Below are 15,705 nucleotides of genomic sequence, written 5' to 3' on the forward strand. Positions count from 1 at the left end.
GCTGGGATTACAGGTGTGAGCCACCGCGCCCAGCCCTGTGTTGCTTATTTTCAGTTTATCTACTATACGTTTTTTCTTCTTGGTTACCATGAAGCTTACAAAAAACATCTTATATGTGGACGGCAAGCCACCTAGTTGCCAAGGCAAGAGACCGAGGGCACAAGCTGTTCCAGTATAATAAAGAAAATATATAGAATAAGAATAGTTATAATAGTTATACTAGAAATGGAGTATAGATTTGATTATATATGAATATTATTAATCATTAATTTGTAGCATTACTCTTTATTCCAGTATTGTAATAATCTTTGTTCTACAATTGTAACCTAGGAAAGACCAGGCTATACAGATATAGGAGCTGAAGGGACATGGTGAGAAGTGACCAGAAGAGAAGAGTGTGAGCCCTCTGTCACGCCCAGACAGGGCCACTAGAGGGCTCGTTGGTCTAGTGGTAACGCCAGTGCCTGGGAAGGCACCTGTTACTTAGCAGACCGGGAAAGGGAGTCTCCCTTTCCCCGGAGGAGTTAGAGAAGACTCTGCTCCACCACCTCTTGTGGAAGATCTGACATCAGCCAGGCCCGCCCGCAGCCATCCGGAGGCCTAAACCTCTCCCCGTGATGGTGTGCTTCAGTGGTCACGTTCCTGGTCCACTTTCATGTTTCGCCCTGTACACCTGGCTCCGTCTTCTAGATAGCAGTAGTAGAATTAGTGAAAGTATTAAAGCTGTTGATCTCTCCGAAAAATGCGTAGAAGAAATAATGATGTAAGCTGTCCTCTCTCTCTTTCTGCCTCGGCTACCAAAATAGGGAAGGGCTCCCTGTCTGGTGGACACATGACTCGTGTGACCCGGTGGACATGTGACTTGTGTGACCTTACCTATCATTGGAGACGACTCACACTCCTTACCCTGCCCCCTTGCCTTGTATACAATAAATAACAGCGTGGCCAGGCATTTGGGGCCGCTACCGGTCTCCGCGTCTTGGTGGTAGTGGTACCCCAAGCCCAGCTGTCTTTTCTTCTATCTCTCTGTCTTGTGTTTTTATTTCTATGATCTCTCGTCTCCGCCCACGAAGAAAAAAACCCACAGGCCCAGTAGGGCTGGACCCTATATTATAGATATAACAAGTTATTTTAAACAGGTGACGTCTTAACTTTGATTACAAAGAAAATCAAACAAAGGAAAACTAAAAGACTCTACACTTTTTAACTCCTCCACATTGTGACTTGTTGTCTCTGTGTACATCTTTTGATATTGCCTATCTCTTAACTGTTTGCCGTAGTTATTTTTTTGATAAGTTTGTCTTTTAGTCTTATGCTAGAGTTATGAGGTGATTACACGTAATTGTAGTATTAAGAGTATTCTGAATCTGTCTGTGTAATTACTTTTACCAGGGAATTTTGTATCTTCACATGTTTTCTTTCTGCATATTACTATCCTTTTCTTTTAGATTGATGAACTCCCTTTACTATTTCTTATAAGAAATGATGGTGATGAATTTCCTCAGCTTTTGTTCATCTGGGAAAGGTTTTATCTCCCCTCCATGTTTGAAGGAAAGTTTTGGTTGGTACAGTATTCTTAATTACCAGTTTTTTTCTTTTAGCATTTTGAATATGTCATCTTGCTCTCTCCTGTCCTGTATGGTTTCTGCTGAAAGGTCTGTTGCTAGATGAATTGGTGCTCTTTTATGTGTTATTTCCTTCTCTTCTATTGCTTATTTTTGGATCCTTACTTTGTCTTTGACCTTTGAGAGTTTGATTAGTATATGTCTTGGGGTAGTCTATTTGTTTTTCTGTTTTTTTTTTGAGACAGAGTCTCTCTCTGTCACCCAGGCTGGAGTGCAGTGGCACGATCTCGGCTCACTGCAAGCTCCGCCTCCTGGGTTCACACCATTCTCCTGCCTCAGCCTCCCGAGTAGCTGGGACTACAGGCGCCTGCCACGACACCTGGCTAATTTTTTTGTATTTTTAGTAGAGACGAGGTTTCACCATGTTAGCGAAGATGGTCTCAATCTCCTGACCTTGTGATCCGCCCGCCTCGGCCTCCCAAAGTGCTGGGATTACAGGCGTGAGCCGCTGCGCCCAGCTCTATTTGGTTATTATTTGGATTTAATTTGTTTGGTGATTTCTGACCTTGCTGTACATTGATATTTATTTTTTTATAGTTTTTGCTTTTATCTTTCTCTAGATTTGGAAAGTTTTCTGTTGTAATTTGAATAAGCTTCTTACCCCTTGCTCTTTCTCAACTCTCTCTTGAATGCCATTGACTCAGTTTTGCTTTTTTGAAGTTAGTCTCTATATCTTGTAGGCCTTCTCCATTCCTTTTCATTCTTTTTTCTCTTCTGTGTATTTTCAAATAGCTTATATCCAGTCCCACTGTTTTTATTTTTTTCCACTGCTTAATTTTGCTGTTGAGAGCCTCTGATGCATTTTTCATTTCAACAGATACATTTCTCAGTTCTAGGATTTTTGTTTGATTTTGAAAACATCATTTCCATCTCTGTTAAATTTCTCTGATAAATTCCTGAATTGGTTTTCTGTGTTATCTTAGAGTTCAACTGAGTTTCTTTAGAACTGCTATTTTGAATTCTTTAACTGAGAGCTTACATATTGCTGCCTTATTAGGGTTGGTCATTGGCACTTTGCTTTGTCCATTGGCTTCCTGTTTATTTTCTTATCTGCCTTATATGGCTTCGTATTGAAAGATCATTTTTTTTTTTTTTCCCAGTTTTTGCTGTCTGCTTATTTTGGTCTTTCTAGGGCATACTTGCTTAGAAGTTCTTTGCAATTGCCTGTTGAATCCCCTAAATTATAGATTGCTGCCTGCCTCCTTTTCAGAGCTAAATGGTGCCTTAAGCCCAAGTTTGCCTTGGGTGTCACAAATGTTTGGAACTCTGTTCATCCTGAATTGGGCGGGAAGGAGTGGGGGTGGATCCCAAAAGTGGTACCTTGGCTATGTGGGAAGTCTGGTTAGGGATTTATGGCCAGAAGACCCATGGAATGTGTGCCTCCTGCAGTATAGTGCTGCTGAACAGCCACTCTGATTTGATGTCTCTCTTGGCTAAGATAAAGAGCAGAGTTTCAAGGGCTAGGTTTGCTAGTCCTGTCTCTTCTCTTTGACTGTAGCTACCCTTAGGGATTTTTCTTCCTGCAGGTACTCATAAGGCTTCCTGTGGATTGAGGCAGGAATGATTTTCCTGCAAGGGAACCCAAGTTGGTAGGAAGCTGGCTCTCTGCCTTGATCTCACTTTTTCCAGTGTAGAGACTGTGATTCCTGGGGGAATTTTCTGTGCTTTGTGCCTGGTAGATAGGGGGAAGGATGTTGCAGATACAGAAATTCGTTTCTTTTATTATCTGCTTGGCGTTTTTCATGTCTCTGGCCCCAGGGATCATTTCAGCTTCAGACTTGAGTTCTGGGATATTGCTGGTGATAATCTTGGTGCTGGGTATTTTTTTTTTTTTTTTCGATTTTCTGTTGGGGAGAGTGAAGCCAGATTGTTTCTACTCTGAGATTTTGGCGTTGCCACAGATATGTACACATATACTAATCCTTATCAGCGGTATAAAATTGTATGCACTTCCTCACTTATGTACCTTTTAACATACTACTCCCTTTAAGTAAAATGCCTGCTCCTCTTTTTCTCCCTTGTTACCTGGATTAATTCCTCTACATCCTATAAATACTGAGTTTATATGATTTGCGAACCTCCTCTCTCCTTTTACTCTCCATAGTATTATATATGCATATACTCTTCATCTATTTAGGTTTACTCTTACCTATTAAAATTCATTTGATTTCTAGATTGCAAGTTTCTTGGAGGCTAGGGATGTCTTTTTAATTTTATTTGGGCCAAAACATATCTAATCCACTTTAGTATGTTTATAGTATTTTAAAGAAAAATCAATAAATTGAATAATTGTCTTACTGACATGTACATAAAGAAACTAATTCCCTGAGGTTCTTTGGGGAAGTGATATTATATAGAATAAGAAAAGTTAACATTAAGTTGCTTACCTAGGTATAGCATTAGGCCTGATTGTATTCAAATCTTACGAGCATACATGATCATATCAGTAGATGCAGAAAAAGTACTTGACAAAATCCAACACCCTTTCGTGATAAAAACACTAAACAAACTGGGACCAGAAGGGAACTTCTTTGGCTTGATAAAGGACATCTATGAAAAACCACAGCTAACATCATCCTTAATGATGAAAGACTGAATACTTACCCGGTAACATCAGAAACAAGACAAGAATGTCCACTTTATTACTTCTGTTCAACATTATACCAGAGGTTCTAGTCATAGCAACTAGGTAAGAAAAAGAAATAAAAGGAAGAAGTAAAAGAAAAAGAAGATGTGAAACTAACTTTGCTTACAGATGACCTGATACCATGTATAGAAAAACCCAAAGAATCCACAAAAGCTATTGTAGCTAATAAATGAGTTCAGCAAGATTGCAGGAACCAAGATTGATATAGGAACATCAGTTGTCTTTCTGTACACTAACAATGAACAATATGAAAATGAAATTAAAACAATTTCATTTATAATGGCATCAAAAAGAGTAAAATACTTAAGAATAAATTTAACCAAGGAGATGCAAGACTTGTACAGTGAAAACTACTGAACATTGTTGAAAGAAATTAAAGAAGACCTAAATAAATGACAAAACATTCCATGTTCTTAGATCAGGTTTAATATTGTTTAGATGGTATATTAGTTTCCTAGGGCTGCTATAACAAATTACCATAGACTGGGTGGCTTAACAGAGATTTATTCTTTCACAGTATCAGAGGCTAGAAGTCCAGAGTCTGGGTGTTGGCAAGATTGGTTTGTTCTGGAGACTTTCAGGGAGAATCTGTTGTATGCCTTTCTCCCAGCTTCTGGTGGTTCCCAGCAATCTTTGTTCCTTGGCTTGTAGATGCATCACTCTATATTCTCTGCCACTGTCTTCACATGACCTTTTTCCCTGTGAGTCTGTGTTTCTTGGTGGGTGTCGGTACATGACTCTCTTATAAGGACACTAAACATTGAATTTAGGGCCTACCCTAATCCAGTATGACCTCACTTTAACTTGATTACATATGTAAAGTCCCTGTTTACAAATAAGGTAACATTAACAGATACCTGGATTAGGACTTCAGCATATTTTGGAAGGGGGCATAATTCAACCCACAATAGATGGCAGTATTTCCCAAACTAATCTTCCGATTAAGTGTAATCCCTATCAAAATCCTGGTACTTTTTTTTGCAGAAATTGACACACTGATATTAAAATTCCTGACCCGAGGTCAGGAGTTCGAGAACAGGCTGGCCAACGTAGCGAAACCCTGCCTCTACTAAAAATACAAAAATTAGCTGAGCGTTGTGGTGCATGCCTGTAATCCCAGCTACTTGGGAGACTGAGGCAGGAGAATTGCTTGAACCTGGGTAACAGAGTGAGACTCTGTATCAAAAAAAGAAAAAATAAAGCAAACAAAGAACAGTTTACTTGTGTGGTTACAGAAAGTTAGTAAACAGGCTTTTATATGCTAATAACCATTTGGACTAAGGAGAAGAGGATATAATATGCCAATATTGTAGAAACTTACTTGACAAGGGAACCTTTACTCTTGGAGTTCAGTGTGGAATTAGGGTAGGTGTTCTGTTATCAATTGTGGTACATCTATTTGATGGAATATTAAGTAGTCATTAAAACGATTATTTTGAAGATGATAGCAGCGTGGAAAATGCCTGTATAAAGACATCAGCATTCAAATTAGTTTGCTACAATGATTACAATTATGGTAAATATCCATGCATGGAAAATTAAAACTAGATAATATTTTTATCCATTAAATTGGCAATGGTGTGGGGAAATGGTACACTCATTGTACAGCAGTTTGGCTCTATTGGAATTGTAAACAAATGTATGCTTTGATCAGATAGTTCTTTTAAGAATCTCTACTGAAATACCGACCTCATGTGCACAAAGATGTATACGCAGGAATGGTCTTTACAGTACTGTACATATTGGTGACAATTTGGAAGCACTTTAAATGCTAGTCAATAGGAGAATAGTTAAGTACATTAGTGTATATCCAAGTGATGGAATACTCTGTAGCAGTTAAATTGAATTAAGGTCTATTCAATTTAGGTCTGTATTCTTAGACCTATTTAAGATAGGTCTGTATCTGTGACACTAAAAAATAAATCTTCCAAGATGCATTCTTTGAAAAAAAAGTCACAAAATATATGTATGTGTCCCTATGTCTGCGTATACATATATATGTATATAATATTCCCATTTATGGAAAACAACTAGATTATGAATGTCATTCAGTGTATTGATAGAATGTCTGTAAGGACACAGAGTAGAATATTAATAGTGGTTTCTAGTGGGATGGGAATGGTGATCCAGCGTGTTTGTGTGAAATGGAACTTTTACTTTACATGTTTCTGAAATGTTTGAATTTTTAACAATAATTGTATATTACTTTTATAACAGTTTTGAAAACATGCAGGGGAGAATAGACAAACGTATACCAAAGTATTTACACTTGTATTAAGGTGGTAAGATTATGGATGACTCTTTCCCCAAATTTGTATATTAAAATTATAAAAAGGAGGTGCTGGGGCGGTGGTTCACACCTGTAATCCCAGCACTTTGGGAGGCTGAGGCAGGCAGATCACTTGAGCTCAGGAGTTCGAGACCAGCCAGGCTAACATGGTGAAATCCTGTCTCTACTAAAAATACAAAAATTAGCTGGGCACAGTGGCATGCGCCTGTAATCCCAGCTACTTGGGAGGCTGAGGCAGGAGAATCATGCAGTGAGCCGAGATCATGCCACTGCACTCCAGCCTGGGTGACAGAGCAAGACTCTGTCTAAAAAAAAAAAAAACAAAACAGAAAACAAACAATGTATCAATATATATGTATTTGTGTATATATAAATAAACACAAATCATTCAGGATATAATTGCAAAGGATTGCCTTACTCTTTTGATCTTCACTGTTTAAGAATTTTGTATTAAAATTAAGCAAAGCTACCCATTTTGAGGTTTAGCTTTGCTCTTGTAGGTGGACCTTCAATCCTGCTGTTCTCACTAAAGCGAACATTGTCCGAAGTGGAGATGCTGCTCAGGGTGCAGAAGGAGGCACCTCGCAGTTTCAAGTGGGTGATCTTGTACAAGTTTGTTATGACCTGGAACGAATTAAACTTCTACAAAGAGGACATGGAGAATGGGCTGAAGCGATGCTTCCAGTAAGTATGTTTAGAATAATTCTGGGCTAGAAATTACAATATACTTATGTCATTTTTAAAAGTAAATTAATGTAGAAATTAAATTGGCATAAAACTTCTTAGAATTGTACTCTCCATTTGCACCTAGACATACTCGTGCATTTTGTTTTCTAATTTATCCCAGTTAAATTAGCCTGGGAAGATCCAGAAAAGGTTACAGTTAATATTTAATATTTTTTGATAGAGTGGTTATTGGAGAATGTTGTGTGGTGCAAGTCAGCAGTGGTTTTTCTGATACTTAACCCCAGAATGATATAGGTCTATGCCCATCTGGTCTCTAGCAGTGCTGGACCAGTGCAGCTTTCCTGATGTGGGGGCCTGCCTCTTTAAAACTTGAGTATGAAAGAGCAGCTCAGAAATGTGTGTGCTTTCATAGAGTGAATTTGTTCCCAAAGAGCTACAGTTTTTTATTTAGTCATTTTTTCGTCAAATGTTCATCAACAACAAACAAATTTGCTTGTTCTGCCCTCTCTTCAACCATCCTTCCCTTTCCCTGTCTGTATCCCTTGCTTCTGTCCTTCTGTCCCTGCCTTTGGTATTACTCTGTCACCTTGCCATCCCTTATGCTTCCTTCTTCTGTTTCCCTTCCTCCTCCACCTTGCTGTGTCCTCCTCTGTAGTTCTCCACCTTGCGTACTCCCATCTCCTGTCTCATCCAGCCTCTCAGTTCCTGTCCTGCCTGTCCCTCCATTCCAGTCCCATTCAGTGCCTCCATCCTGTCCCATGTACTTCATCTCACATCCCTCTTAGTATCCTATTACCCCCACTCTACTGTAATTGTTCGGTCTCTTCTCCTGGCCAGCACCTCCTTCTCTTCCCATCCAGCCCCAACTCCTGCCCCATCTCATCCCCTCCCATCCTGCCTAGTCCCTCCTTCCTGTTGTCCTGACCCTCCATTAGCCCTTCTGTCCTTTCTGCCTTATTCCCTAAGTAGGTATTTTAGCACATATAATATGCCTATTAGGCAGGGCTACAATAGTGAACAATACAGAAAAAATAGTGAATAATTGTGAACAAAACAAAAAAATAAAATCTCTGTTGTTATGATGCTTTTATTCAAAGACACTTCACAGTTTGTAGCTGCCGTACACATATACATACAATATTACAAGAGGGTGATGTTATAGCATCCTTATTTTAAAGATGAGGAAATCAGAGGTGCGATTCTGAACTGGATTTTGAACGCAGACCTGTCTTATTTCAAAACCTAAGCAGTCTTTCTGCCATTTCAAACTGCTATATAGATAAAACCTCTAGAGAATTCTAAAGGGAAATTCTGGGATTCCAGTAGTGGTGTTACAGATTTTGTGTCTTATCAAATCCTTTTTGATAAAAATAGACAATTAGATTAGCATAACCAAAAAAGCCACAAACATCTATAACAAAACTAGGTTTCAGAGTAACCTGTTGAACCCTAAATATGAATGAGTAGAGATAAACCACTGACAGCTATTGAGTCTGCATCTCTTCGTATGGGAGCAGAGAGAATTAATGAGGCATCTGATAGATCCGAGAACAGGAAAGCTCCAAAACAGCTAGCAAATATTCATTGGCTAGTGTGGTAGACAATTGTCTTAGCAGCACCTGAACCTGAGAGAGTTCCTGAAGACTCCAGTTTGGGATGAGAAAATAGGTCCATGCTAAAGTCAGAAAGGATGGAACTAGTGTGGGCCTTTAAACTCAAAACTAACCAGCCAAAGCTCCCTTCCAAGGCAGAGCCTCACTTTGAGGAGAAAGTGCTGGGAATAGAAACAAAATTTAGTAGGACGGAGACAGTAGGGACAAAGGAAGGAGAAGGTCCAGATAAAATTTAGAAGGGATCATGGTTAAATTCCCATACACAGTTATTATTGAAAAAAGGGAATAAGGAATAGAACTTCTCTACAGATAGTGAAAGTATATCAGGCCAGACGTGGTGGCTCATGTCTGTAATCCCAGTGCTTTGGGAGGCCAAGATGGGTGGATTGCTTGAGCCAAGGAGTTGAGACCAGCCTGAACAACGTGGTGAAACTCTGTTTCTACTAAAAATACAAAAATTAGCCAGGTGTGGTGGTGTGTGCCTGTAATCCCAGGTACTTGGGAGACTGAAGTGAGAGGATCTCTTGAGCCCAGGAGGTTGAGGCTACAGTGAGCAGAGATCACACTTATTGCACTCCAGCCTGGGCAACAGAGTGAGACCCTGTCTCAAAAAAAAAAAAAAAAAAAAAAAAAAAAAAAGGCATATCAGAAAGATACGTGCAGAAAAATGATGAAAACTGTACTTTTATAATTTAAAATGAGCTAAAAGGCTGGGCACAGTAGTGTGTACCTGTAGTCCCAGCTACTCAGGAGGCTGAGGCAGGAGGATCACTTGACTTCAAGAGCTCTGGGTGTAGTGTGGATGTCTGCACTAAGTTCGGCAAGGATGTGACCTCCTGGGTGAACCCCAGGTTGCCTGTGGCGTGGGGAACTGGCCCAAAATCAAAAACAGAGCAGGTCAAAACTCTCGTGCTGATCAGTAATGGGATCATGCCTGTGAATAGCCACTGCACTTTAGCCTGGGCTAATGTAGTGAGACTGACTCTTAAAAAAAATTGCAAAAAAACGAAAAATGAGCTAAAAGAAATTAAGAAAATGAAAAAAGTGTAAGAGAATGAAATCAGAAATTAGGTGATATAACTTAGGACATAATTAAAAAGAAGTGAAAAAGTCATTTTATAAGTGAAGACTAAGCTGGAAGGAACACAGAGCAGAGCAAATAAATGCAAGAGATAATGGCTAAGAGAAATAGAAGGTGAAAAAGCAGGAAAATTTTAAAAATAGGAAAGGTGAAAAGTATTTCAGAGAAAGAAGTAAACATTAAATAGCCTCTCTCTCTCTCTCTCTCTCTCTCTCTCTACAAGAGAGTCCTTGTAGAAAGGAAAACTAAACCCAAATAAATGAAATGAAACAAATATGAAAATTTGTAATTTTAGAAAAATTTTCCTGGAATTAAGAAAACAATTTGAAACTAAATTTTGAAGGGGCACATTGCATACCTGGGAAAACTGACCCAGAACAGCAAACACTGGGCTATATTCTGGTAAAATAACTGAATCTTCAAGATGAGAGAAAGTATCCAGGAAAAAAGACCAGACAGGTTATTGGTGCTAAAGGAAAGAAAATTATTTTGCTGTTAAGAAAAAAGTCTCATCTCAGTGTTTTATGCCAGAAAACAGTGAGATCGCATTTAAGATACTCAAGGAAAGAATATAAGCTGAAGATTTTATATGTAACCAAACTAACTTTCAAGTATAACTGTGCTATGAATATGTGAGAATTCTTGTTCCCATGAGTCCTTTCTAAGTAATTTGCTAGATAATGAGTTTCAGACAACCAAAACGACTGTAGAGACATCAAGTGAAGGACTAGTGATCATGGAATATGTATTGATTTGTTAAACTAAGATTAAATGAATGTTGTAAAGGAAAGGGTAGAATATATAACAATTATATGTTCTAACAATGTAAATTTTAGTTGTAAAAAATGGGGTGGAAATTGAGCACATGAAAAGTTTAATATGCTGTTTGCCTTTTAGTTGTATTAACTGGGACTAAATATTATTATTTTAGATCAAAATATTAGGAAAGAGTAAGGACACATGAATGACTAATTTCAGTATTGCACATATTAGGGAACCAAGTCGAGATTTTATATATATATAAATATATATGTATATATATAATATATAAATATATATTATATATAATATATAAATATATAATATATATAATATATAAATAATACATAATATATAAATATATATTTATATTTATTTTTATATATACACACACATATATATAATATATAATTATTAGGACAATACAAACTATATTAAAGCAGACAATGTAATGATAAACTATGAAGTTACAAATAAGCGTTACCTATATAAAAAGGGAATAGGATGATATAAGGGGCAAAGAAGGAAGGGAGACCTCTTTGAATATGTCTTGTTTTATAGATTTGATTTGAAATCACATACATATTTAATACAATTGTAAAACGAAGTTAAATTTAAAAAGGAAACTCCTCAAAGTGGAAAATGAAATGAAATAAATGAAACTAAGTGTGTTTCTGTTAGCATAACCATGTAGAGAGAAAATTCCAAGTAATTTTTTAAACACAGTTAATTTTTCTTTATATCTTCATAGGAAGAATAGACCCTAAAGAACTGCATGGAAATTAAATGTTTAACACTTTTCAGAAATCTTATTGCATGTAGTAGCGTTGATATTGTTATTCCGAGATTGTTAGATGTACCAAAAAACAAATGAGTACTTGTGTGATAATTCTGTTACTCCTTTGACTTTGAGAATCAGAATTATCAGAGTTGTAAAAGGAGATGCAGATATAATATAGAGGAGGTGAAGTAAAAACCCTGTAGTCTTGAATTTGAATGAAAAGAGTGTTTGAATGTATGATTTATGCTTCTTTAAAAACAAAACAAATGTCTTCTTTTGAGAAGTGTATGTTCATATCTTTTGCCCACTTTTTGATGGGGTCGTTTGTTTTTTTCTTGTAAATTTGTTTAAGTTCCTTGTAGATTCTGGATATTAGACCTTTGTCAGATGGGTAGATTGCAAAAATTTTCTTCCAGCCATAAAAAAAGAATGAGATCATGTCCTTTGCAGGGACATGGATGAAGCTGGAAGCCATCATCCTTAGCAAACAAACACAGAACAGAAAACCAAACACCACATGTTCTCACTCATAAGTGGGAGTTGAGCAATGAGAACATGTGGACACAGGGAGGGGAACATCACATACTGGGGCCTGTCAGGGTGGGGGGCAAGGGGAGGGAGAGCATTAGGACAAATATCTAATATAATGCATGCGGGGCCTAAAACCTAGATGATGGGTTGATAGGTGCAGCAGACCACCATGGCACATGTATAGCTATGTAACAAACCTGCACTTTCTGCACATGTATCCCAGAACTTAAAGTAAAATTAAAACAAAACAAAAAAATGTCCCAAACAAAAGCTCCTATTTCCTAGCTGTATTCATGAAAATGCCTCCACTGTGACCATTTTAGTAATAACCAAACTTAGTGCCCAGGTTATGGTTTTCAAGCAGCCTTTCTCAATAAAGAGCCAAGGCTTTTTGGAGAAATGGCTAATTCTGACTCTTTGACAAGAGGTGAACAAAATGAGCCTCGTACCAGGTAACAAGGAAGCTGTCACTGGTTTCTAGGACCATGTTAAAAGGACCTAGGAGCCAACTTGAAGGGGTTCTTGCTGACTATATACAGAGGGCTGACGAGTTATTAAAACTACACCAATTAGTAAAATTCAAATGGTAAGAAACTTTGTAAGATAAAGAACTGTTTTTTCAACAAATAATTTGCAAAGAAAAACATGTACTTGTGGACTTTATGTGGATCTTGATTTAAACAAACAAAAAATTGATTATGTGGATCTTGATTTAAACAAACAAAAAATTGATAATTTATGAGGTAATTGGAAGTTTGAACACTGGAATTTTGTGATATGTAACTATTGTAACTTTGGGTGAGTTGATAATAAATAGCATTGTAGAATATGTTATCAAAAAAAGAGTTCTTATTGTTTGGAGGTACATACTGAAATAATACTGGAGGAGAGAATGGGTAGGGGAATAAAGGAAACAAGATTAGCCATGAGCTGATAATTGTTACAAATGGTTGATGGGTACATGAGGATTCAGTATGCTGTTGTCTACTTTTGTATCTCTTGGAAATTTTCCATAATAAAAAGTTGAGGGGAAAAAACAAAGAATGTAGCCTCATAGAGTTTGAGATGATAATGGAAAATTCCAAGTGAAAATGTCTAATAGGCTGTTAAAAAATTAGAATTAGTATGTGTATGTGGGGGTGAGCGGTAATTTTGTGTTTTCAAAAAAAAGGTGATAGTTGTCAAAGTGGGTTGAATTTTCAACGAAGAAGAGTGAAAACCTATGGAATAAAATTTTGGGAAAATGAACAGGTTTAGGAATATGAGGAAGGGAAGGAAAGGAACTGGCAGAAATCAGATGATTCCAAAAAGGGTTTAAACATAGATGTAAGCTTGAGCCCTTCTTGGCCAAATTAGTTTATTTTTTTATTTTTTGTTTTTTTTAGAAATCCAATTTTCTTTTTCAGGCTATATTGATGATAGATTTTAGACTACTTGAGTTGCAAGTTCTCAAAATGTACCTTACAGATTTCAGAAGTAAGGATTGAACATCAAAATAGATGTTTATGAACTCGTATGAATAGGATAGACTTTATCATGATTTGTCTCATATTCTTGTGGAAGTAGTTTTATTATTATTTTAAAAGATATTTTTTAACATTTGTACTTATTCAAATAACCCATTTCAGTATGGTTATCCTTTGAAAGTTTTTTCATTAGTAATAAGTAAAATCATTACTTTAAGCATATAAAAACTAGTGATTGACTTTATGGTATATACTTTAGACTTGGAAACATGAATCTATTTTTTTCCCCAAGACTTTAGGTAAAGTTGGCCGAGTACAACAGATTTATTCAGACAGTGATTTAAAGGTGGAAGTTTGTGGAACATCTTGGACATACAATCCAGCAGCAGTTTCCAAGGTGGCATCTGCAGGATCAGCCATTAGCAATGCATCTGGTGGTATGTTTTATATTGTGTTTCTTTAAGAGTAATGTGGTTTACATTAAAACCTTTGCTAATTCCCCAGTTCTCATATACAGATAATGTTGTACATGTGCTTGGCTTTGTCCCAGATTACACAGCCTTACTTGAATGTTGACCACCTTTTAAACTTTCACTAAAAATTTTTGTTTTTTATAATGTGTTGAACAACCTTTATTCTGGCTGAAGTACTCCCTGGAGAAGTTCCATAAAATGTGTGCTTTTTCTTGGGCATATCAGGGGATTTTCCACATCAAATTTGAGATTCCTAAAATTCAGAATTCTACTCTTTAGTCAGAACTTTTGTTTTCTGCCAAAGAACCATCACTTTCTTAGACTTCTTTATTTTTTCTGTATTTCCAACATTATTGCTAGCAGATGGCTTTCCTTCCTGTATATTTTTACATATCAGTTATTTTTTCTCTTACCATTTAATGAGTTGTTATACATGCTACCGTGACTAGAAACTATGCTAAAATGTGAACATCCTGGATGCTTGAGTTGACTCTTTCACATAGTCTTTCTTTCCTGTGCTCCAGCTTTGTATACACAGACTCAGTTCATTTTACAACATAATACAAGTTACTGTGTGTACATGTTGTCATCCAGAAAAGGAGATAGAACTATAACTATAAATAGTAAGAAACAAAAGGAAAACATAAAGTGACTTCCAATTTTATTTTTGTCCTGCTTTCTGCTTCCTCTGCCTTTTTGTTTATTCTTTCCTGCTGTAATTTGCTAGTATGCTTAACATTTAAATCCAGTGTTTATTTTTACCTTGAGGTTAAATGACACCATAGTAGGTTGACTACATACAAAGTAAAAGAGTGAAGGACAGTTAATAGCCTACTCTCAAATTATGTGGACTTGGCCCACTTTGTCATTTGTCCCTTGCCCTATTTTGTGATTTCTCTGCTTTATAATAAGTACCCCAAGAATTAAGGAGTTAGAGCTTTGTAGCTTCTGTATTGATTGATACTATTTAGAAAAAAATATCTTATGAAAGGGTTTAGGTATATTCATCCCTGGTTCATTGTTGTTTTTGTCAAAACCAATCATTTGGCACTTACTGAAAGTTATTAGCACTTAGATGTCCAGTTTCAACCTAAAGAAAATTGGTTTGACCCTAAACTATGTCCCCAGATATTACAGAGATTGTTGCTTTTGATCATAACCATTAATCTGTTGAATTATTTTAAAGTCTGTAGTATTGAGCTCTGAGAGTCACTGTAGTGTCCTTAAAACCTGAAAGGAAGTTTGTATCATTGTGGTACTCCCATGGTAGTGTGTTTATTCATAAACTTCTTATGATGACTTTTAAATCTTGAATTATTATTAGTATATAATGCACTACTTTTTCTAAAATTATAATTTGATATACATGAATTGGAGAAAACTTGGAATACTTAAGGGCTTGCATTTAATACAGCTTTTTATAGTAGTGATTATAACTTGCATGGGTAGAAAAATAACATTAATGATGGAAAGAATAAAATAGGAAAAGATTATAGAAATATTGGGTAATACTTGTTTCTTAGTAGTTAAGGTTTGAGATCCTCCTATATTAGCAGCTTTATTTGATGCTTTACAGAAAGACTCTCACAACTCCTGAAGAAATTATTTGAAACCCAAGAATCTGGTGACCTCAATGAAGAATTAGTTAAGGCTGCTGCCAATGGAGATGTTGCTAAAGTGGAAGATTTGCTTAAAAGACCAGATGTGGATGTGAGCATTTTAAAAATTATTTTGAAGCATACAAAAAGTAGA

At 36.7% G+C, this 15,705-nt stretch overlaps 1 protein-coding gene and 1 pseudogene across 5 annotated transcripts in view; both read left to right on the forward strand.

Moving 5' to 3' along the window:
• The window catches only part of MIB1 (MIB E3 ubiquitin protein ligase 1), a 166,038-nt gene that overhangs the window by 79,396 nt on the left and 70,937 nt on the right, over positions 1-15,705 (forward strand). For all 5 annotated transcript variants that reach the window (XR_007066203.1, XM_047437676.1, NM_020774.4 and 2 more), the window contains exons 7-9: positions 7,063-7,246; positions 13,773-13,917; positions 15,530-15,663. Coding sequence is in view for 4 of the 5 variants with exons in the window: in XM_047437676.1 (XP_047293632.1) it covers positions 7,063-7,246; positions 13,773-13,917; positions 15,530-15,663 (463 nt within the window). In the remaining variant the exon portion in view is untranslated. The remainder of the gene's footprint in view (positions 1-7,062; positions 7,247-13,772; positions 13,918-15,529; positions 15,664-15,705) is intronic.
• Positions 9,572-9,848, forward strand: RN7SL233P (RNA, 7SL, cytoplasmic 233, pseudogene; annotated as a pseudogene).

This window comes from Homo sapiens, chromosome 18, assembly GCF_000001405.40.
Source record: "Homo sapiens chromosome 18, GRCh38.p14 Primary Assembly".
Taxonomy (NCBI): domain Eukaryota; kingdom Metazoa; phylum Chordata; class Mammalia; order Primates; family Hominidae; genus Homo; species Homo sapiens.